The 22,669-nt window shown below is 40.8% G+C and overlaps 1 protein-coding gene and 1 pseudogene across 7 annotated transcripts in view, besides 2 other annotated features; one reads left to right on the forward strand and one right to left on the reverse strand.

Moving 5' to 3' along the window:
- Nucleotides 1-22,669, reverse strand: part of RBL1 (RB transcriptional corepressor like 1) — a 99,649-nt gene that overhangs the window by 31,316 nt on the left and 45,664 nt on the right. For 6 of the 7 annotated variants that reach the window (NM_001323281.2, XM_047440348.1, NM_002895.5 and 3 more), the window contains 5 exons: nt 19,389-19,526; nt 16,422-16,586; nt 12,489-12,621; nt 7,578-7,844; nt 5,001-5,212 (listed from right to left, as the gene is read on the reverse strand). In NM_001323281.2, coding sequence (NP_001310210.1) covers nt 5,001-5,212; nt 7,578-7,844; nt 12,489-12,621; nt 16,422-16,586; nt 19,389-19,526 — 915 coding nt within the window. The remainder of the gene's footprint in view (nt 1-5,000; nt 5,213-7,577; nt 7,845-12,488; nt 12,622-16,421; nt 16,587-19,388; nt 19,527-22,669) is intronic. The other variant, XM_047440350.1, reaches the window with a different exon arrangement.
- Nucleotides 15,760-15,859: an enhancer, noted in NCBI's record as "active region_17825". NCBI's record gives its function as "activates an Ori minimal core promoter by ATAC-STARR-seq in GM12878 lymphoblastoid cells {active_cell/tissue: GM12878}" and the evidence as "EXISTENCE:reporter gene assay evidence [ECO:0000049][PMID:35858748]".
- Nucleotides 16,600-16,769: an enhancer, noted in NCBI's record as "active region_17826". NCBI's record gives its function as "activates an Ori minimal core promoter by ATAC-STARR-seq in GM12878 lymphoblastoid cells {active_cell/tissue: GM12878}" and the evidence as "EXISTENCE:reporter gene assay evidence [ECO:0000049][PMID:35858748]".
- RPS27AP3 (RPS27A pseudogene 3) lies at nt 21,574-22,081 on the forward strand (annotated as a pseudogene).

Below are 22,669 nucleotides of genomic sequence, written 5' to 3' on the forward strand. Positions count from 1 at the left end.
GTCCCTTTCCATTAATATTAAAATAATTTAGGCATTATAATAAGAACTGGTCATATGCTAATTTAAAGGGTAACACATTAGATTTATTTTATTTATTTTTGAGTTTTGGAGACGGGATCTTACTCTGTTGCTTGGGCTGGAGTGTAGTAGCACCTTCTTAGCTCACTGCAGCCTCGAAATCATGGGCTCATGTTATCCTCCCACTTCAGCCTCCTGAGTAGCTGGGACTACAGGCATGGGCCACTATGCTGGCTAATTTTTTAATTTTTTGGTAGAGACTGGGTCTCGCTATGTTGCCCAGGCTGGTCTTGAACTGCAAGCCTCAAGTAACCCTCCTGGCTTGGCCTCTGAAAATACTGAGATTACAGGCATAAGCCACCATGCCTGGCCTAGATTTATAATAAAAATTATGAGTAACAGCTGGGCATGGTGGCGCATGCCTGTAATCCCAGCACTTTGGGAGGCTGTGGTGGGCAGATCACCTGAGGTCAGGAGTTTGAGACCAGGCTGGCCAATATGGTGAAACCACGTCTCTACTAAAAATACAAAAATTAGCCAGGTGTGGTGGTGGACACCTATAGTCCCAGCTACTTGGGAGGGTGAGGCAGGTGAATCGCTTGAACCTGGGAGACAGAAGCTGTAGTGAGCCGAGATCACGCTACTGCATTCCAGCTTGGTAGACAGAGTAAGACTGTCTCAAAAATAAATAAATAAATAATGGCTTGGGTGGTGACTCACACAGTAATCCCAGTGCTTTGGGAGGTCAAAGAGGGAGGATCACTTGAACCCAGGAGTTCAAGGCTACAGTGTGCCATGATCATGCCACTGCACTGTAGCTTGGGTAACAGAGCAAGACCTTGTCTCTAAAAATAATAATAATAAAAAATATATAGCCTTCTCACAGTATCCCAGCAATCTTTAGAATGATTCTTCGCTAATTAAAATTCACCCATGAGATCCAACATGTATTTGTCCCACAGTGAACTCCATTCTACGGCAACATAACACAAAAGAGTTTCAGTAAATTCCAGAGGCTGGCCAACTACTTACTCAAAGTTAGAAAAGAATACAAGCTGGCAAAAAACATAAGTTAGATCTGAAAACAGAATCAAACCCTGTGAGCCTGAGTCTAAACTTATAGCTCACCAGGATCATAATGTTCTCTTGAAAGGTCAAATGTATTTTTTAAGTGGCTAAAGGTACATTACTTGATAGCAAAGCCAGACAAAGAAAGCATAAGAAAAAATACAGACCACTATCTCTTACGAATATTGGCGCAAAAATCCTCAACTAAATACTAGTAAAACAAATTCAACAGCATATGAAGAGGGTTATACACCATGACCAAGTAGAACTTATTTTTAGAAGGTAAGGATAATTTAAAACAAGGAAATCATTCAGTATAACACACCATATTAAAAGGACAAAGGGAAAATGGCCACATAATCATTTCAAGTGATACAGGAAAGCATTTGACAAAATTTAACACCCTTTCATGATAAAAATACTCAAAAAGCTAGGAAGAGAAGGAAACTACCTAAACATAATAAAGGATATACAGTAATCCCTTGGTATACACAGGAGATTTCTTCCAGGAGCCCCTGCATATACCTGAATGTATGCATACTCAAGTCCTGCATTTGGCCCTGTAGAATCCCCATGTACAAAAAGATGGCCCTCTATATACACAGGTTTCACATCCCTCAAATACTGTATTTTCATTCTGTGTTGGCTGAAAAAAATCTGTATATAAGTGGACTTGTACAGTGCAAAAACATGTTGTTCAAGGGTCAACTGTATATAAAAAACCCACAGTTAACATCATACTCAAATTGAAAACCTGAAAGGTGTTCCTCTAAGATCAGGAGTAAGACAAGGATGTTTGCTTTCACCACTTTTATTCAACATAGAACGGGAATTCCTAGCTAGAGCAATAAGGCAGGAAAAAGAAATCCAAATTGCAAAGAAAGAAGTAAAATTATCTTTGTTCACAGATGACATAATCTTGTGTATGGAAAACTCAAAAAACCTAAAGAATCCATAAAAACTGATAGAATTAATAAACAAATCAGCAAAGCTGCAAGAAAATCAATACAACAACATCTCTTGTGTTCCTTTACATTAATGAACAATCTAAAAAATGAAATTAAGACAATTCTACTTACTTATTACTTACAATAGCATCAAAAAGAATACTTAGGAATAATCTTAAGCAAGGACTTGTCTTGCAAAAGACATATACAGAAAACTACAAAATGTTGCTGAAAGAAATTAAAGAAGACGCAAATGAAAAGACATCCTATGATCATGGACTGGAAGACTTGACATTCTTAAGATGTCAACACTAGCCAATGCGATCTCCATATTCAATGCAATCTCTGTCAAAATTCCACAATGTTTTTGCAGAAAGAGAAAAATCCATCCTAAAACTCATACAGACTCTCAAGAAATCTTAAATAGCTAAAACAATCTTAAGAAAGAAAAACAAAGTTGGAGGTCTCACACCTCCTGATTTTAAAACTTATGACACAAAGCTATGGTTATCAAAACAGTGTGGTACTGAATACAGATAGACATATAGTCCAATGAATAGAATAGAGAGCCCAGAATTAAACCCCCATATCTATGCTCAAGTGACTTTTCAACAAGGATTCTAAGCTCATTCAATGGGAAAGGGCAGTCTTTCAACAAATCGTGCTGGGAAAAATGGATATCCATGTGCAAAAGAATGACTTTAGACCCTTATCTAACACCATATACAAAAATTAAAATGGGCTGGGCGTGGTGGCTCACGGCTGTAATCCCAGCACTTTGGGAGGCTGAGGTGGGCAGATCACTTAAGCTCACGAGTTGAGACCAGCCTGGGCAACATGGTGAAACCCCGTCTCTACAAAAAAGTTCAAAAACAGGCCCGGCGTGGTGGCTCACACCTGTAATCCCAGCACTTTGGGAGGCCAAGGTGGGTGGATCACCTGAGGTCAGTAGTTTGAAACCAGCCAAACCAGCACGGTGAAACCTCGTCTCTACTAAAAATACAAAAATTAGCCAGGCGTGGTGGCATATTCCTGTAGTCCCAGCTACTCAGGAGGCTGAGAAAGGAGAATTGCTTGAACCCGGGAGGCAGGGGTTGCAGTGAGCCGAGATTGCGCTACTGCACTCCAGCCTGGGCAACAGAGTGAGACTCTGTCTCAAAAAAAAAAAAAACAAAAACAAAAAACCCAAAAAACGAAAATTAGCTGGGCATGGTGGCACATGCCTGTAGTCCTAGCTGCTCAGAGGGTCGAGGTGGGAGGATCATCTGAACCTGGGAGGCGGAGGCTGCAGTGAGCTGTGACTGCGTGACTGCACTCCAGCCTGGGTGATAAAGTGAGACTCTGTCTCAAAAAAAAATAGACATAATAAATATAAGAGCTAAAAACTATAAAACTCTTAGACGAAAACATAGGGGAAAAGTTTTATAATACTGGATTTGGCAATGATTTCTTGTGTATGACACCAAAAGCACAGACAAAAAATGAAAAGAATAAATTGACTTTATTAAGATTAAAAACTTTCATGTGTCAAGAACACTATCAACGGAATGAAAAGGCAACCCACAGAATGGGAGAAAATACTTGTAAATAGTATATTTTATAGGAGATTAATATCTAGAATACATAAAGAACTCCTACAATTTAACAAAAACAAAACCCAAAACTCATAATTAAAAAAATGGGCAAAAGACTCGAATAGACATTTCTATAATGAAGATATATAGATGGGCAAAAGCACATGAAAAGATACTCAATATTACTAATCATTAGGGAAATGAAAATTGAAACTATAGTAAGATGTCTCTTTATACCCATTGGATGGCCATTATCAAAAAAACAAACAAACCAGAAAACACGAAACGTTGGCAACGATGAGAAGAACTTGGAACACTTGTGCCTTGCTAGTGGTAATGTAAAATGGTCCACCCACTGTGGAAAATGGTACGGTGGTTCCTCAGAAAATGAAATACTAAATTACTCTCCCATTTCTGGGAATATACCCAAAGGAATTGAAAGCAGAGACTTGAATAGATATTTGTTGCTATTTTTTTTTCTTCTTAAGACAGGGCCTCGTTCTGTTGCCCAGGCTGGAGCGCAGTGGTGTGATCTCGACTCACTGTAGCCTCAACCTCCTGGGCTCATGTGATCCTCCCACCTCAGCCTCCAAAATAGCCAAGACTATAGGCATCTGCCACCATACCTGGCTGCTTTTTTTTTTTTTTTTTTTTAAAATAGAGATAGGGTCTCACTGTGTCGCCCAGGGTGGTCTCAAACCCCTGGGTTCAAGTGATCCTCCTGCCTCGGCCTCATAAAGTGCTGGGTTTACAGGCATGAGCAACCACGCCTGGTTTGAACAGACACCTGTACACAAATGTTCATAGCAGCATAACTCACAATAGCCAAAAGGTAGAAGCAACCCAAATGCCCATCAGCAGATGAATGAATAAACAAAATGTGGTATTAAAAAAAAGTATATTCATATGATGGAATATTTTTTCTTTTGTTCTTTTTTTCTCTTCTTCATACAATGGAATATTATTCAGCCTTGAAAAGGAAGGAAATTCTGGCACAAGCTATAATATGAATGAACCTAGAAGACATTACGCTAAGCCAGTCACAAAAACAAACAAATATCGTATGACTTCACTCATAGGAAGAACCTAGAGTAGTCAAATTCACAGAAACAGAAAGTAGAATAGTAGTTGCCAGAAGCTGGGGAAAGGGAGAAATGGATACAGAATTTCAGAATGGGAAGACGAAAAAGTTCTGGAGATAGACGGTAGTAATAAAGCTGCACAACAATGTGAATGTATTTAATACCATTGAACTGTACACTTAAAAATGGTTAAAATGGTAAATTTTGTGTTATGTATATTAGAAAAAAAAAAGACCAAAGTCTGTCTCTGTTACTCAATCTTTCTTCCATTGATTAAACAAATTCTTCTAAAGTGCTATAAAAACACATACCTTTCTGTAAAATAGTGCTAAGGACCCAGTTCTCTTTGGCCTGTTTATTCCAGTTGAATGTACCTCTTGTGCTTTAGTCAGATTGGTCTGTTTTGGAGAAGCACCAATTAATGAATGAGCAGTAAGTGATACAGGACTCTTGACTTTGGACTCCTGATTTGTATTCATGGAAAGAGGTATCAGTGTGATCTCTCCAGCATCATTTGCGACACCTGAATGTATAAGCATTATTAGAAATAATCTGCATATGTTCTAGGAAAGTTGTCAACTATATATATTTTGACAATTATATATACATATATCTGTGTGTATAAGAAGGCTACAAAATAGTAATTCTAGGTTATGACTGAATTCTTTTTTTTTTTTTTTTTGAGACAGGGTCTCACTTGGTCACTCAGGCTGGAGTGCAGTGGCGCCATCTCAGCTCACTGTGGCCTCGACCTCCTGGGCTCAAGTGATCCTCCCATTTCAACCCCCGCAAATAGCTGAGACTACAGGTGCAAGCCACTATGCCTGGTAAATTTTTTTTTTTTTTTTTTGAGATGGAGTCTTGCTCTGTCGCCCAGGCTGGAGTGCAGTGGCGTGATCTCGGCTCACTGCAACCTCTGCCTCCCGGGTTCAATTCTCCTGCCTTAGCCTCCTGAGTAGCTGGAACTACAGGCACATGCTACCACACCCGGCTAATTTTTAAAATATTTTTAGTAGACACAGGGTTTCACCATGTTAGCCAGGATGGTCTCGATCTCCTGACCTCATGATCTGCCCTCCTCGGCCTCCCAAAGTGCTGGGATTACAGGAGTGAGCTACTGTGCCCGGCTTGTATTTTTTTTTTAGAGATGGGAGTTTTGCCATGTTGCCCAGGTTAGTCTCGAACTCGTCAGCTCAAGCCATCTGCCTGCCTTGGCCTCCCAAAATGCTAGGATTACAGGCATGAGCCACTGCAGCTGGACTTTTTTTTTTTTTTTTTGAGACAGTCTCACTCTGTCACCCAGGTGGGAGTGCAGTGGCCTCATCTTGGCTCACTGAGACCTCTGCCTCCCAGGTTCAAGCAATTCTCCTGCCTCAGCCTCCTGAATAGTTGGGACTACAGGCATGCGCCACCACACCCGGCTAATGTTTTTTCTCTATTTTTAGTAGAGACGGGGTTTCACCACGTTGGCCAGGCTGGTCTCAAACTCCTGACCTCAAGTGATCCACCTGCCTCAGCCTCCCAAAGTGCTGGGATTATAGGTGTGAGCCACTGTGCCTGGCGCCCCCCGGGCCCCCTTTTTTTTTTCTTTTTCTTTTTTTTTTTGACAATGTCTTGCTCTGTTGTCCTGGCTGGAGTACAGTAGCGTGATCATGGCTCACTGTAGCCTCAAATTCCTGGGCTCAAGTGATTCTCCTGCCTCAGCCTCCTAAGTAGCTGGGACCATAGGCATACATCACCATGCCCAGCTAATTTAATTTTTTGTAGAGATAGGATATTGCTATGTTGCCCAGTCTGGGTCTCAAACTCCTGGGCTAAAGTGATCCTCTTGCCTTGGTCTCCCAAAGTGCTGGGATTACAGGTGAAAGCTACCATGCCCCGCATAAATCCTTATTTTCTAGAAACAAGAATATTCGGTTTTGTTTTTATACTTTAAATTTATGGAAAAAAAAGCAAATTTTGTTCTCTATTTTGTATTTGCCTGGGATACATTTATAGTTTAAATTTATTGGAAAAAAAAGCATTTTTTTTTTTAACATTTTGAGCACTTGAGCTGTTAGTCAAAAAACAGAATTTTTGCTCAATACATACATATTGGAAAGCTCAGATAAGAACATTTTAAAAGTAGTTTGAGACCTGGGCAACATGGTAAAACCTCATCTGTACCACAAATAGAAAAAATTAGCTGGGAGTGGTGGCACTTGCCTGTGGTCCCAGCTACTCAGGAGGCTGAGGTGGGACGATCACTTGAGCCTGGGAGCAGAGGTTGCAGTGAGATGAGATCATGCTGCTGTACTCCAATGTGGGTGACAGAGTGAGATCCTGTCTCAAAAAATAAAAAAAGAAGAAAAGAAAAAGTAAAATAAGTCTAAACAAACAGAGAGGGTAGTAAATTTATAAAATTTAAAAATAAAAAAAAAACCACTATAGGTTCAAAACAAAAAGGTGGGGCACAGAGGATTTATAGGGCAGTGAAACTACTCTGTATGGAGCTATAGTGACAGATACATGTCATTATACGTTCTCAAAATCAATAAACTATTCACCAAGAGTGAACCCTAATGTAAACTATGGGCATTGGGTAATGTGTCAGTAATGTAGGTTCATCAACTGTAACAAATGTAGCATTCTGGTGTGGAATACTGATAATGAGGGAGGCTTTATATGCCTCTGGTTGGGGAAGGGGGACTATGAGAAATGTCTGTACCTTCCTCTGAATTTTGCTGTGAATCTACAACTGCTCTAAAAAATTCAAATCTATTTAAAAAAAAAAAGTATAGGTTCAAGAAAAAATAATGAGTTAGAAAAACCATGTGATCTAATCCACTAAGACATTTCTTAAATTTTTATCTCAGAAAAAGTACAAAACAAATGCACTATAACGTTACCATGTAATGGAATTGTAACTTTATGTCCTGTTGTTCCTGTTACTGGGGCTGTGGCCATTGTTAGAAGAGTTTGACCAGGTAAAATTGATACATTTTCAGCAGTAATGCTTGAAGAAGGAGCGATTTTCAATTTTGTTCCTTCTGTTATGATCTTGTCCATAAGCATTTCCTTTGGGGGGTCCTCTCCAAAGAGTCTTCTCTTAGCACTCCCTGCGGTAGGAGAACTGTAGCGTTCATGGACAGAAATTGGAGACAATGGTTGCATATCTAAAAAAAAATAATAAATTTAAAACAGAAATGTATTCCAAAATAATAAATTAGGTTTACTCATTCACTCAACAGATAGTGAGTTACTTATGCTGGGCACTAGCTAGATATGAATAACATGGCCTTTGCCCTCATGGAATATGTAGTCTACTGGGAGAAAGAGGCATGAAATAAGTCACTACGATAAAACGTGAAAATTATGATCACTCATCTTCCTGGTTTCTTGAACCTCTGCCTACATTAAAGGAGCAAAACATTAAGGACAAAGTAGAGGTTGAGAGGTAGAATGAAGTGAGCACTAAATTTTAGTAGTAGTCCAATATCTCCCAATCTTACCTAGTAGAGAGCACCTGAGAAGAAGGGAAGCAAAAGCAAAAATCAGGAATTTGGGTCACAGTTTTGCCTCTTTGTGAATATTTGCACTCCAAGCAGTTTAAGGCGGTAGCTCTGGCTTTCTAATTTAGTAGATATGGAATCATCTTTAGTAAATCTATCAGAAGATATGAGTAAAGATGATATAAATCTGCTTACCTTGCCTTAATCTGAGGGTTGGCAGTACTGTGTTGATCAAAAATAAAGTAAGGATTATGGATTTTGCCTCTCTTCCTGTGCTATCCTTTCACAGGATCTGCTTTCCATTCCCTCTCTACCAGCTGCACGGGTTTTTCTAGCCCCTTACAACCCTACATCTTTTCTACATCTTTTTTCACAATTCTTCCCTCAACCAATTATTCCTTACAGGTAGGTCAATAATATGCTTTTAAAACAAAAGTATTTATTTATTTATGAGATGGAGTCTTGCTCTGTCACCCAGGCTGGAGTGCAGTGGCACGATTTTGGCCTACTGTGACCTCTGCCTCTTGGGTTCAAGCGATTCTCCTGCCTCAGCCTCCCAAGTAGCTGGGACTACAGGCATGTGCCACCATGCCTGGCTAATTTTTCTATTTTTAGTAGAGACAGGGTTTTGCCATGTTGGCCAGGCTGGTCTTGAACTCCTGACCTCAGGTGATCCACCTGCCTCATTTGGGATTACAAGCTTCAGCCACCGTGCCCGGCCTTCATTATTTATTTTTACATTCACTAGATAATTAGATAGTCATGTAATCTATTTTCTTTTCTTTTTTTTTTTTTTTTTGAGATGGAGTCTCGCTCTGTTGCCCAGGCTGGAGTGCAGTGGTATGATCTCAGCTCACTGCAAGCTCCGCCTCCCAGGTTCACGCCATTCTCCTGCCTCAGCCTCCTGAGTAGCTGGAACTACAGGCAACCGCCACCATGCCCGGCTAATTTTTTGTATTTTTAGTAGAGATGGGGTTTCACCGTGTTAGCCAGGATGGTCTCGATCTCCTGACCTCGTGATCTGCCCGCCTCGGCCTCCCAAAGTGCTGGGATTACAGGCGTGAGCCACTGCGCCTGGCCCTGTAATCTATTTTCAAAACATGTTCAAAAGGTATGAAAATGACCCCTGGCAATGATTTAGAAGCTCTCTGTATTAGTGAGGTGATTGGGAAAATAGTTATAGTTTAATAAAAATCTCCGTAATTCTTGGGCTTATGAAAGCAGCTTTTACTTCTCCTGTCTTCAGTAAACAAGTGCAAATTTCTATAGTTGTTTCCATTACTCTTTTACAAGAGTCCATGTGAATGCCTTATATCTAAGAAATCCACGCAAGCCCTTGAATCTGACTAGGCATGTTTAAAGGTGACATTTCAAGGCAAGACTCGAGTTGAAGCCATAAAGTTAGCTGCAAATCCATTGAAATGATCTTTTCTTAGCACAGTACTGGAACAGCTATGGTGGATGCTCAATAAGAATGTAATGAATATACAAATGTAAAGCGGATCCAAATTTAGAAACATGACAATCTGTCAAGGTACAGAAAAGATGCTCACTTAGTTATAAATTATATGAGAGGAAGGTGGCAAGCACAGTTTAAACTATTCTTGCTAAGTTTTTAAAAAAGAAAATAATTCTCAATATTTCGTAAGTTTTAAATTATAGTATACTAAATATTTTTACTATTTTTTCATTTCTCTAAACATTAATAACTGACAGAAAGAAGAGCCTTTTTTTTAACATTTTGACAAGATTCGTAAAGATCAAAAAACAATTATAATAATTATAATTATTCCCACTGATTAAAATGACTGAGTATTCACATCTTATGCAATCTTGTTTTTTTTTTTTGGAGACGGAGTCTCACTCTGTCGACCAGGCTGGAGTGCAGTGGCACAATCTCGGCTCACTGCAACCTCCGCCTCCTGGGTTCAAGCAATTCTCTTGCCTCACTCTTGCCTCAGCCTCCCAAGTAGCTGGGACTATAGGCGCATGCTGCCATGCTTGCCTAATTTTTTGTATTTTACTAGGGACCAGTTTTCACTGTGTTGCCCGGGCTGGTCTTGAACTCCTGACCTCGTGATCTGCCCGCCTCGGCCTCCCAAAGTGCTAGGATTACGGGTGTAAGCCACTGCGCCCGGCCATTGTTTTTTTTTTTTTTTTTTTTTTGAGATGCAGTCTTGCTCTGTCCCCAGGCTGGAGTACAGTGGTGCGATCTCCGCTCACTGCAAACTCCATCCCTTGGGTTCAAGCAATTCTACTGCCTTAGCTGCCTGAGCAGCTGGGATTACAGGTGTACACCACCATGCCTGGCTAATTTTTGTATTTTTAGTAGAGACAGGGTTTCACCATGTTGGCCAGGCTGGTCTCAAACTCTTGACCTCAGATGATCCACCTGCCTCGGCCTCCCAAACTGCTGGGATTACAGGCGTGAGCCACTGTGCCTGACCTTATGCAATCTTTTTTTTTTTTTTTTTTGGGTCGGAGACTCGCTCTTTCGCCCAGGCTGGAGGGCAATGGCACGATCTTTGCTCACTGCAACCTCTGCCTCCCAGGTTCAAGTGATTCCCTGCCTCAGCCTCCCGAGTAGCTGGGATTACAGGCACCTGCCACCATGCCTGGCTAATTTTTGTATTTTTAGTAGAGATAGGGTTTCTCCATCTTGGCCAGGCTGGTCTTGAACTCCTGACCTCATGATTGACCTGCCTCAGCCTCCCAAAGTGCTGGGATTACAGGAATGAGCCACTGTGCCTGGCCTTTTTTTTTTTTTTTTTTTTCTGAAACAGAGTCTCGCTCTGTCCGCCAGGCTGGGGTCCAGTGGTGTGATCTTGGCTCACTGCAACCTCTGCCTCCCGGGTTCAAGTGATTCTCCTGCCTCAACCTCCTGAGTAGCTGGGATTACAGGCACCCGCCACCACACCCAGCTAATTTTTGTGTTTTTGGTAGAGATGGGGTTTCACCATGTTGGCCAGGCTGGTCTCAAACTCCTGACCTCAGGTGATCCGCCTGCCTTGGCCTCCCAAAGTGCTGGGATTACAGGTGTGAGCCACCGCACCTGGCCTGCAGTCATTTTTATGATCCTGCATTGCATGTAAAGCAAAGATTGCAGACAGACAAACACACATACACAATCACACAGAGTCCAAAAATGGATGTACCGTACTATGTAACCTGAATACTTGTTCATCTAAGATTTGTTAAGGGATACTATGTGGTCAGGAGATTTTAACTGATTTTTAAAAATCCAAGCGCTATATAATCCACAAGATACACACATCAGCTCGCTACATCACAAGAGAAAATAAGGAAGAATGAACTAAAATCTTTCCATTGGTAAGTCTCAAAATGAACTATTTTAAGAATAAAAATAACTAGTTTATTAGATGAACTTAAGCATTCCAAAGAGAATACAAATTTTATTTTGCTTTAAATGTTTTTCTACAGAGACATACACAGGCAAAGGAAGAATATAAATTTGGGAAATTTGGAAAAGTAGGTATTTAGCTTAGTGATATGGTTTGGCTGTGTCCCCACCCAAATCTCATCTTGACTGTAGTTCCCATAATTCCCACGTGTCATGGGAGGGACCAGGTGGGAGGTCACTGAATCATGGGGGTGGGTCTTTCCCATGCTGTTCTCCTGATAGTGAATAAGTCTCATGAGATCTGATGGTTTTATCAAGAGGAGTTCCCCTGCACAAGCTCTCTTGCCTGCTGCCATGTAAGATGTGCCTTTGCTCTTCCCTTTGCCTTCCACCATGATCGTGAGGCCTCCCCAGCCATGTGGAACTGTGAGTAAATCAAACCTCTTTCCTTTATAAATTACCCAATTTTGGGTATGTCTTTATTAGCAGTGTGAGAACAGGCTAATACACTTATCTTGTTTTTTCCTTTCTTCTTTTTCTTTTTTTCTGGGACATGAGGGGGGTCTCACTATTTCGCCCAGGCTGGGTTCAAACACAATCCTCAATACTCCTGCCTCAGCCTTCTGAGTAGCTAGGACTACAGAAAGATGCCATCGTGCCTGACTTTAGCTTATTTAAACAGTTCTCCATTAGCATTCAGGAAAGATTACATATATTTATTAAATAAATTACATTTAAAATTCTATTAATATAGAATACACTATAGTATATAATATAGTGTACAATGAGCTACACAGGGGTGCTGGCACAAGCATCAAGCTCCTTTTCGAACCCTGCTGAATAAATTAGATTTCTTAATAACATACTCACAAGACTTAAAATTTTCCCTGAAAAAAAGCCAAATGCCCTTTGTTACTTTTTCATTCCTTTACCAATGTTGAACCTACCTCTTCGAAGACTCCCACTGTCAGTTCGAACTTCCTTGACTCTTGGGTGCATTAGAGGAGACATTGGCATCAGGGGAAGATGTCCCTGCACATTTCCTCCATTTCCTGTTTCAAAGTTATTTGGGAATATAACCTGTAGAAAACAAAAACCCTTTGATTTACATATAGATAAACTTGCTGATTAAAACTTATTAAAAATGTTTTCTTTTCTTTTTTTGAGATAAAGTCTCATTCTGTTGCCCAGGCTGGAATGCAGTGGCACGATTTCAGCTCACAGCAACCTCCAACGCCCGGGGTTCAAGTAATTCTCCTTCCTCAGCCTCCTGAGTAGCTGGGACTACAGGTGTGTGCCATCATGCCCGGCTAATTTTTGTATTTTTAGGAGAGACGAGGTTTCACCATGTTGGCCAGGCTGATCTCGAATTCCTGACCTCAGATGATTCACCCACCTCAGCCTCCCAAAGTGCTAGGATTACAGGTGTGAGCCACTGTGCCTGGCCGAAAAAGTGTTTTCTTAACTTTTTTTTACTATTTTATTTCTTTCTCACTTCTTCACAAAATACAACTTGGATAAAGTGCTCAATTCTTAATGTTAACGAACGTATGGAAAGAGTTCATTTCATTTAACCTTATAATTTATATAGGTAAGTTACCAACCACAAGAACTAAACCTCTGAGGTAGGCAGTATCATTCTCCATTTAGGGATGAGAAAATTGAGGATCTGAATGTGAAATTTGCCCAAGGTCACACAACTAGTAAGTTATAAGAGCAACGGCTTCAATACTAATCCTTCTTCAAGTTCACAGCTTTTTTGAACTTGAAGGAGTCTGAAGTTCTTCAATGGAAATAAACTGATGAATACTGAAGAGTGGCCCAATAAGTTACTGTCTGCTGCAAAAGACCAAAGAAGTATGGAAGAGAGATTTCAAGAAACCATCTTCTTTCCAATTCCTCCTGGCCTTGGACAGTTCTAGTAGTTTGGGATTAGGGAAAAATTCAAGAAGATTAATGAAGTACATAAGGAGACAAAACAAAGAATCAAAAGACACGAGTTACAAAAGAATAACAGAAGTAGACAAAAAAAACCCCACAATTTCTCACGATACTACTATTAAAAATGTAATTTGTGCACAACTCTGGGCACACATTTTTAATTTTTATTTATTTATTCATTTAATTTTTTTTTGAGACACAGTCTCGCTCTGTTGTCCAGGCTGGAGTGCAATGGCACGATCTCAGCTCACTGCAACCTCCGCCTCCTGGGTTCAAGCAATTCTCCTGCCTCAGCCTCCCAAGTAGCTGGGATTATGGGTGTGTGCCACCATGCCCAGCTAATTTTTTGTATTTTTAGTAGAGACGGGGTTTCACCATATTGGCCAGCCTGGTCTCGAACGCTTGACCTCAGGCAATCCACTTGCCTTGGCCTCCCAAAGTGCTGGGATTATAGTCATGAGCCACTGCACCAGCCTCTGTTTTTTATTTTTTAATTCTGAATACCACCAATGAAAAGTGTTCAATCTTTATACAGACATTTGAAAATTTTTAAGTAAGTTTAATGGTTTCCTAGACATGATATCAAAAAGCAGAAGCAAAAGAAAAAATATCTGAATTGGACACCATCAAAATTAAAAATTTTTGCATTTCAAAGACACCATCAAGAAAGTGAAAAGACAGGCCAGGTGCAGTGGCTCATGCCTGTAATCCCAGCACTTTGGAAGACCATCCTGGCTAACACGGTGAAACCCTGCCTCTACCACAAATATAAAGAAATTAGCTGGGCGTGGTGGTGGGTGCTTGTAGTCCCAGCTACTCAGGAGGCTGAGGCTGGAGAATGGCGTGAACCCGGGAGGTGGAGCTTGCAGTGAGCCGAGATCACGCCACCGCACTCCAGCCTGGGCAACAGAGCAAGACTTTGTCTCAAAAAAAAAAAAAAAAAAAGAAAGTGAAAAGACAACCTAGAAAATGGGAGAAACATTTTGCAAATCATTTATCTGATAAGGGATTTGTATCTAGAATAGATGAAGAACTCCTATAATTCAATAATAAAAAGACAACCCAATTACAAAATGGGCAAAAGATCTGAATAGACATTTCTCCAAAGAAGATATGCAAACAGCTTACAAGCACATAAAAAGATGTTGATCATCATTAGCCACCAGGGAAATGCAAATAAAACCACAATGAGATATTACTTCACTCCTACTAGAATGGCAGGATTAAAAAGGCAGATAATAACAAGCATTAGCAAGGATATGAAGAAACTGGAATCTTTCTACATTGACCGTAGGAACAATAAAATGGTGCAGCCATTTTAGAAAGCAGTCTGACAGTTTCCCAAAAGCTTAAACAGAGTTACCATATGAACCTGCAATTCCACTCCAAGAAAAATGAAAACATATGTACATATGTTCACACAAAAACTTGTGCCTGAATGTTCATAGCAGCATCAATCATAATAGCCAAAAGGGGTTAGTTGTGGTGGCTCATGCCTGTAATCCCAGCACTTTGGGAAACTGAGGTGGGAGGATCGCTTGAGCCCAGGAATTCAAGACTAGCCTGGGCAACATAGGGAGATCCCATCTCTACAAAAACTACAAAAATTAGCCAGGTGTGGTGTGTGTGCCTGTAGTCCCAGCTACTCAGAAGGCTGTGGGGAGATCATTTGTGCCTGGGAGGTTGAGGCTGCAGTGAGCCGTGATGGCGCCACTGCACTCCAGCCTGGGTGACAGAGTGAGATCTTGTCCCCCCCCCTCCAAAAAAAAAAAAAAAAAAGTCAAAAGGTGGAAACAACTCAAATATTTATCAACCGATGAATGGATAAATAAAATGTAGCATCCATACAATGGAATATTACTTAGCAACAAAAGGAAATGAGCCAGATGTGGTGGCTCACACTTGCAATTCTAGCACTTTGGGAGGCTGAGATGGGAGGACTGCTTGAGCTCAGGAGTTTGAGATCAGCCTGTGCAACATGGCAAGATCCTGTCTCTACACACACATGCGCGCGTGCACACACACACACACACACACACAATTAGCCGGGTGTGGCCAGGCGCGGTGGCTCAAGCCTCTAGCCTCTAATCCCAGCACTTTGGGAGGCTGAGGCAGGTGGAGCATGAGGTCAGGAGTTCAAGAACAGCCTGGACAAGATGGTGAAACCCCGTCTCTACTAAAAAAAGTACAAAAAAAATTAGCCGGGTGTGGTGGTGGGTGCCTATAATCCCAGCTACACGGGAGGCTGAGACAGAGAATTGCTTGAACTGGGAGGCAGACGTTGCAGTGAGCCGAGACTGTGCCACTGCTCTCCAGCCTGGGTGACAGAGCAAGACTCCATCTCAAAAAAAGAAAAACAGAAAGAAAAAAAAATTAGCCGGGTGTGGGTGTGGTGGTATGTGCCTGTGGTCTCAGCTACTTGAGAGGCAGAAGGACAGTTTGGGCCGAGGAAGTTGAGGGTGTAGTCAGTGCACCATCTTTGTCCACTGCACACCAGCCCGGGCAAGAGTGAAACCCCGCCTTAAAAAAAGAGAGGAAATGAAATACCGATACATTCTACAACATGGATGAACCTTAAAAACATTATGCTAAGTGACAGATGCCCAGTCAAAAGGGACTACATTTTTATGATTCCATTTATATGAAATGTCTAGAATAGGCAAATTTATGGAGACAGAAAGTAGATTAGTGGTTACTTACAGCTAGGGAGAAGATTCGGGGGTAGGGAAGTGATAGCTAAAGGATGTAGGTTTCTTTTTGAAGTGATGACTATATTCTAAAATTGTGGTTATGGCTGCACATATCTATTTATATACTAAAACCACTGAATTGTACACTTAAAATGGGTGAACTCTATGGTATAGGAATTATCTCTCAATAAAGCTGGTTTTTTTTTTTTTTTTTTTAATGATACGATTATCAGCCTTGCCCAGACTCACTTCTTCACAGGTAGGAACTTTGTTTGCAGAAACCTGGAGAGCCTCCCACAGTGCAGAATCGTGACTCCATGCTAAACTCTCCAAAATCTGTTCTTCAATGCTGTTTAGGTGTTTCACCATGTCCCTTGAGAGCCCCTCTTCTGAGCGGATCACCACCTCAATAACCTGCAGAGGAGAAAGTGAGAAGGCAATGTGGTTTCAAGCAGTTAGTTCTAGTCTGGACTTGCATGTAGGACTAGCTGTGGCTTTCTTCTTCTTCTTCTTTTTTTTGAGACGGAGTTTCCCTCTGTTGCCCAGGCTGGAGTACAGTGGTGTGATCTTGGCTCACTGCAACCTCTGCCTCCCAGGTTCAAGTGATTCTCCTGCCTCAGCCTCCCGAGTAGCTGGGATTACAGGCACCTGCCACCACACCTGGCTAATTTTTGTAGTTTTTAGTAGAGCCGAGGTTTCACCATGTTGGCTAGGCTGGTCTAGAACTCCTGACCTCAGGTGATCTGCCCGCCTAGGCCTCCCAAAGTGCTGGGACTACAGTTGTGAGCCACTGCGCCCGGCCACTGTGGCCTTATTCTGTGGCACAGAACCAAAGTCATCTTTGAACCATAATTCTGTGGCTTACTAACATCTTCTAATTTATAAAGGAGTTTTTAAGTTCTTTAAAATATGTTCACATATATTTCTGTTTTTCACGTTTTATATTATAAATGACAACTTGAGGCAACGATAGGTGAAAACTGGTCAACAGACCAACAGTGGGAGAAGTCAGGTCTTGGGTTCCAAGTCTAGTTCTATTTTGAATGTATTGCTCCTTTCCAGACTATTTTTTCCACTAACTCAAAATAACAGAATGAATGAACTATTTAAAGTGACTTTGCGTATATACACTATAATTCCATTTTATAAGGGAAGTATCTAGAATAAAGTTTATATACACAAAATATTAATAATATGATTGTTAATAGATTATGATGTATGACTTTAATATTCACATTTATTTACTTATTTATTTATTTATTTATTTATTTATTTATTTATTTATTTTGAGACGGAGTCTCACTCTGTCACCCAGGCTGGAGTGCAGCGGCGCCATCTCGGCTCACTGCAATCTCTGCCTCCCAGGTTCAAGCGATTCTCCTGCCTCAGCCTCCCGGGTAGCTGGGACTACAGGCACGTGCCCCCATGCCTGGCTAATTTTTTGTATTTTTAGTAGAGATGGGGTTTTACTATATTAGCCAGGATGGTCTCAATCTCCTGACCTCATGATCCGCCCGCCTTGGCCTCCCAAAGTGCTGGGATTATAGGCATGAGCCACCGTGCCTGGCCCACATTTATGTTTATGATTTTCTTCAATGAGCACATATCATTTATGTCATTTAAAAAAACAAAGGAGGCCGACACAGTGGCTCATGCCTGTAATCCCAGCACTTTAGGAGGCCACAGTGAGAGGATTGCTTGAGACCAGGAGTTCGAGACCAGCCTGGGCAACATAGTGAAACCGAGTCTCTATTGAAAAAAAAGGCATTTAGCTGCTTGAATAAAATAAGGATGTTATAAATAAAAACCAATTACTATGAGGTTGTTGACAAAACTAAACTTTTTCCTAATGGCAAAAGTTGAATACACACATTAACATTAAAGTGAGTGTATAGTAGAATCACTTCTCCCTAAGAAACCTAAAAATACTTTAATCACACTCAGTAATTCACACAGATAAGCTTTCCAATGACCTGCATTTTCTACAACTTTAATTCAGGCATACTTTAGGTATAAAAATTTAACTCTTCAAACCAATTTTTCTATCACCAGTAGAAAAGTACCTAGATGACTAAATATTAACTAAATCATGCCAAGAAGCGTAACAGTAGCATTAGTCTTAAAGTTCGATACTATGTAACATTAAACGTTATTGACTGTGATGACTAAACGTTATTGAGGGTGATGATGTAGTTCAATAGCTATGACCTCTGTTTTATTTTGAAAAGATTAACAAAAATAGTTCTAGCAAGAAAAATAAAGGTAAGGTAAGTAAGATTCATTCACACTGAATTAGCTCAAACTTGGGGAAGAAGCATAATCTATTATTACGGCTTTATTAGTTAGACCACCACCAAAATCAATTTTAGGTCTTCCTTCCTCTTGGTAGAAAGCGTTTTTTGTTCTTCATCATGCATTTGTTTAATAGGATTATAATTTTCATTCATAAATATGGAAAATTTGAAGTTAAGTACTAGTTCCAGGTCACATTTTCAAGTCCGTGTTAACAAAGGAACTGAAGCTGTAAGATTGACTTAATTTACTGATACTCTCACCTTCTCTCTCTCTTTTTTTTTCTTTGAAACAGGGTCTTGCTTAGGTGCCCAGGCTGGAGTGTGGTGGCATAATCATACCTCACTGTAACCTCAAACTCCTGGACTCAAGCCATCCTCCAGCCTCAGTTTTCCAAAGTGCTGGGATTATAGGTGTGAGCCACTGTATGCTCAACTCTCTCTTGTGTTCTTGGTTTCACCCAAGAGGAATATATATTATCTTTTTTTTTTTTTTTGAGACAGAATTTTGCTCCTGTCGTCTAGGCTGGAGTGTAATTGTATGATCTCCGCTCACTGCAAACCTCCACCTCCCAGGTTAAAGCAATTCTCCTGCCTCAGCCTCTCAAGCAGCTGAGATTACAGGTGCTCGCCACAATGCCTGGCTAATTTTTTTTGGTATTTTTAGTAGAGACGGAGTTTCACCATTTTGGCCAGGCTGGTCTCGAACTCCTGACCTCAGATAATCCTCCCACCTTGGCCTTTCAAAGTGCTGGGATTACAGGCGTGAGCCACCATGCCTAGCCAGGAATATATATTTTCAGAACACATCTGGAAACACTTTCCAGATATCACAACAGTGTTTTTCTTCAGCACTAAGATAAATACAATGTTTCTGTGAGAAACACTGTTTTCATCTCATAACAGAACTTTGTTTTCATCTCACCTTATAAAAGTAAAATGGTTGCAAGTTGAGAACTTCAATAATCCAAGGAAAAGTACGAGGTGAGCTATAGGCAAAGAGCACAATTTCCAAACAACAAGCCATCAAGGAACGATGAAATATATCTTGCTCTAAAAGAACCTGGGGGAAGAGAAAGACCACAGTTTAATATTTTTCAGCAATTTCAGTCTTTGCCATTCCATAAAGAAACCTATAAAAACAAGAAAAAATAACGTGCAAATTATATTACACTAGATTACTGGAGATAAAAATTTGAGTTCTCAAATTGGTAGTTTTCCTATAATACCTATTCTTGCTCAGTGGGTAGGGAATAAATTTAAATAAGGTGTACATAACAATCTGCTTTGAAATCTGAACAAATAATAAAAGTCAGTATTCCCATCAACAGAAAAGCATTAGAATTGGTTATTTTTCTTAATGACAGTTAATTGTTTTGTCAACATAAGGGTTTATTTATCAAAACACAGAAATGAAAGGTAATATGTCACAGTTTAGACAAAACTGTTCAGAAAAAGAAATACTTCACTGAGAAAGTAAAAGTCCTACTTTACCATTAAGTTTAATATAAGTTTTCAGTTTTAAAAATGGTATTTGTTGCCTTCTTTCTTTCAAATATCACCCTAGATTGGCTGAGTGTGGTGGCTCACCCCTGTAATCTCGGCACTTTGGGAGGCCGAGGCAGGTGGATTGCTTGAGGTCAGGAGTTCAAGACCAGCTTGGCCATGATGGTGAAACCCCGTCTCTACTAAAAATACAAAAATTAGCTGGGTGTGGTGGCGCGTGCCTGTGATCCCAGTTACTCCGGAGGCTGAGGCAGTGGAATCACTTAAACCTGTGAGGCAGAGGTTGCAATGAGCCAAGATCACGCCACCACACTCCATACTGGGCGACACAGCGAGACTCAGTCTCAGAAAAAACAAAAAACTAAAACAAACAAACAAAAAACAAGTATCGCCCCAAATCAAGGGAGGATAAAAAACAGAAACTCCATCATCAGTAAAACTAGCAGTCATTTGTAACTGTAAACCACAATATATGAAGGATGACAAATTACTCAGCAGAAGGGACGATGATCAAGCATAAGGACCTGCAGTGAGACACTTAAAACAAAAGAATCTGATCTAAAATACATAGCAACTGAGGACACAGGCAGAATGGGAAGTGGGGGTGAAGCATTGGGTGGGTGATCTGAAAGTCTTAGGATCCTCAGGTCCCCACACAACCCCCACTCTATGGGATCAGATGACAGACCTCTATTCTGTCTCCACAGGAATCTACAGGATTATTCTCTAGAGAAATTGAACTGGAGACTCAGAGGTAGAGAACATTAGGCACAGAAAAGACTAGGGTTTTAGGTGAAACTCTGCAGACTGAACCATAAGACCAAGTTTCCCTTCCTTCTTCTGATCCACAACACCAACAGCCAGGCAAGAGATTTACAGATATGTCTCTGGAGAAACTGAGATATTCCAGAAAAGTCTTACGGATACCAGCAGATAAGTCTCTAATACTATGTGATCACCTGAGGTCAATGGATTTTTTACTTCCACTCTTGAAATAAAAGAGCTTTAAAACAAACTTTTACTGCCTCATTCACAGAGCTTTGAACACGTTTTTAGTGTCTCATTCAAATTTAAGTGGACCACTAAGAATTATCTGACATTTGAGGAAAACCTCTTACCTGAAAAACATAGGTCAAAACAAACAGAAAAGCGAGGTGCAGCAGCATGCACCTGTAGTCCCAGGTACTTGGGAAACTGGGGCAGGAGGATCACTTGAACCTAGGAGTTTTGACACTAGCCTGAGCAACATAGCGAGACACCATCGTATTAAAAAAAAAAAAAAAAAAAGCCAGGTGCGGTGGCTCAAGCCTGTAATCCCAGCACTTTGGGAGGCCGAGGGGGGTGGATTACCTGAGGTCAGGAGTTCGAGACCAGCTTGGCCAACATGGTGAAACCCCATCTCTACCAAAAAACACAAAAATTAGCTGGGCGTGGTGGCATATGCCTATAGTCCCAGCTACTCAAGAGGCTGAGGCAGGAGAATCATTTGAACCCGGGAGATGGAGGTGCAGTGGGCCGAGGTCATGCTACTGCACTCCAGCCAGGGTGACAGGGCGAGACTCTGTCCCAAAAAACAAAAAACAAAAAACAAAAAAAAATTTAAAGATCCGCCATCTGCAAATGCAGATTTTCGTGAAAACCCTTACAGGGAAAACCATCACCCTCAAGGTTGAACCCTCGGATACGACAGAAAATGTAAAGACCAAGATCCAGGATAAGGAAGGAATTCCTCCTGATCGGCAAAGACTAATATTTGCTGGCAAGCAACTGGAAGATGTCTGACTACAACATTCAAAAGGAGTCTACTCTTCATCTTGTGTTGAGACTTCATGGTGGTGCTAAGAAAAGGAAGAAGTCTTACACCACTCCCAAGAAGAGTAAGCACAAGAGAAAGAAGGTTAAGCTGGCTATCCTGAAATATTATAAGGTAGATGAGAACGGCAAAATTAGTTGCTTTCGTCGAGAGTGCCCTTCTGATGAATGTGGTGCTGGAGTGTTTATGGCAAGCCACTTTGACAGACATTATTGTGGCAAATGTCTGACTTACTGCTTCAACAAACCAGAAGATAACTAACTGTGTATGAGTTAATAAAAGATATAAACTAACATTTAAAAAAATTTAAAATATTTTTTAGAGAGAGAAAAAAGGCCAGACATGGTGGCTCACACCTGTAATCCCGGCACTTTGGGAGGCTGAGGTGGGTGGATCACCTGAGGTCAGGAGTTGGAGACCAGCCTGACTAACATGGAGAAACCCCGTCTCTACAAAAAATACAAAAGTAGCCAGGTGTGGTGGCGCATCCCTGTAATCCTAGCTACTCGGGAGGCTGAGGCAGGAGAATAGCTGGAACCTGGGAGGCGGAGGTTGCGGTGAGCCAAGATCGTGCCATTGCACTCCAGCCTGGGCAACAAGAGCGAAACTCCATCTCAAAAAAAAAAAAAAGAGAGAGAGAGAAAAAAAATGGAGAAAAATTCAGGAGAAACAGAGACGAAGCAGTCAAGAAAATTTCGAATAAATCTAAATTAGTAACTTTAGAGAACATGAAAGAGAAATGAAAATATAGCTGAAATTAAAAGTTCATTGGGACTAGATGAAAAGTTGAGTAAATATCTTTAAAAGTAGAATAAGGCCGGGCGCAGTGGCTCACGCCTGTAATCCCAGCACTTTGGGAGGCCGAGACGGGCAGATCACAAGGTCAG

Source organism: Homo sapiens, chromosome 20, assembly GCF_000001405.40.
Source record: "Homo sapiens chromosome 20, GRCh38.p14 Primary Assembly".
NCBI classification, from domain to species: domain Eukaryota; kingdom Metazoa; phylum Chordata; class Mammalia; order Primates; family Hominidae; genus Homo; species Homo sapiens.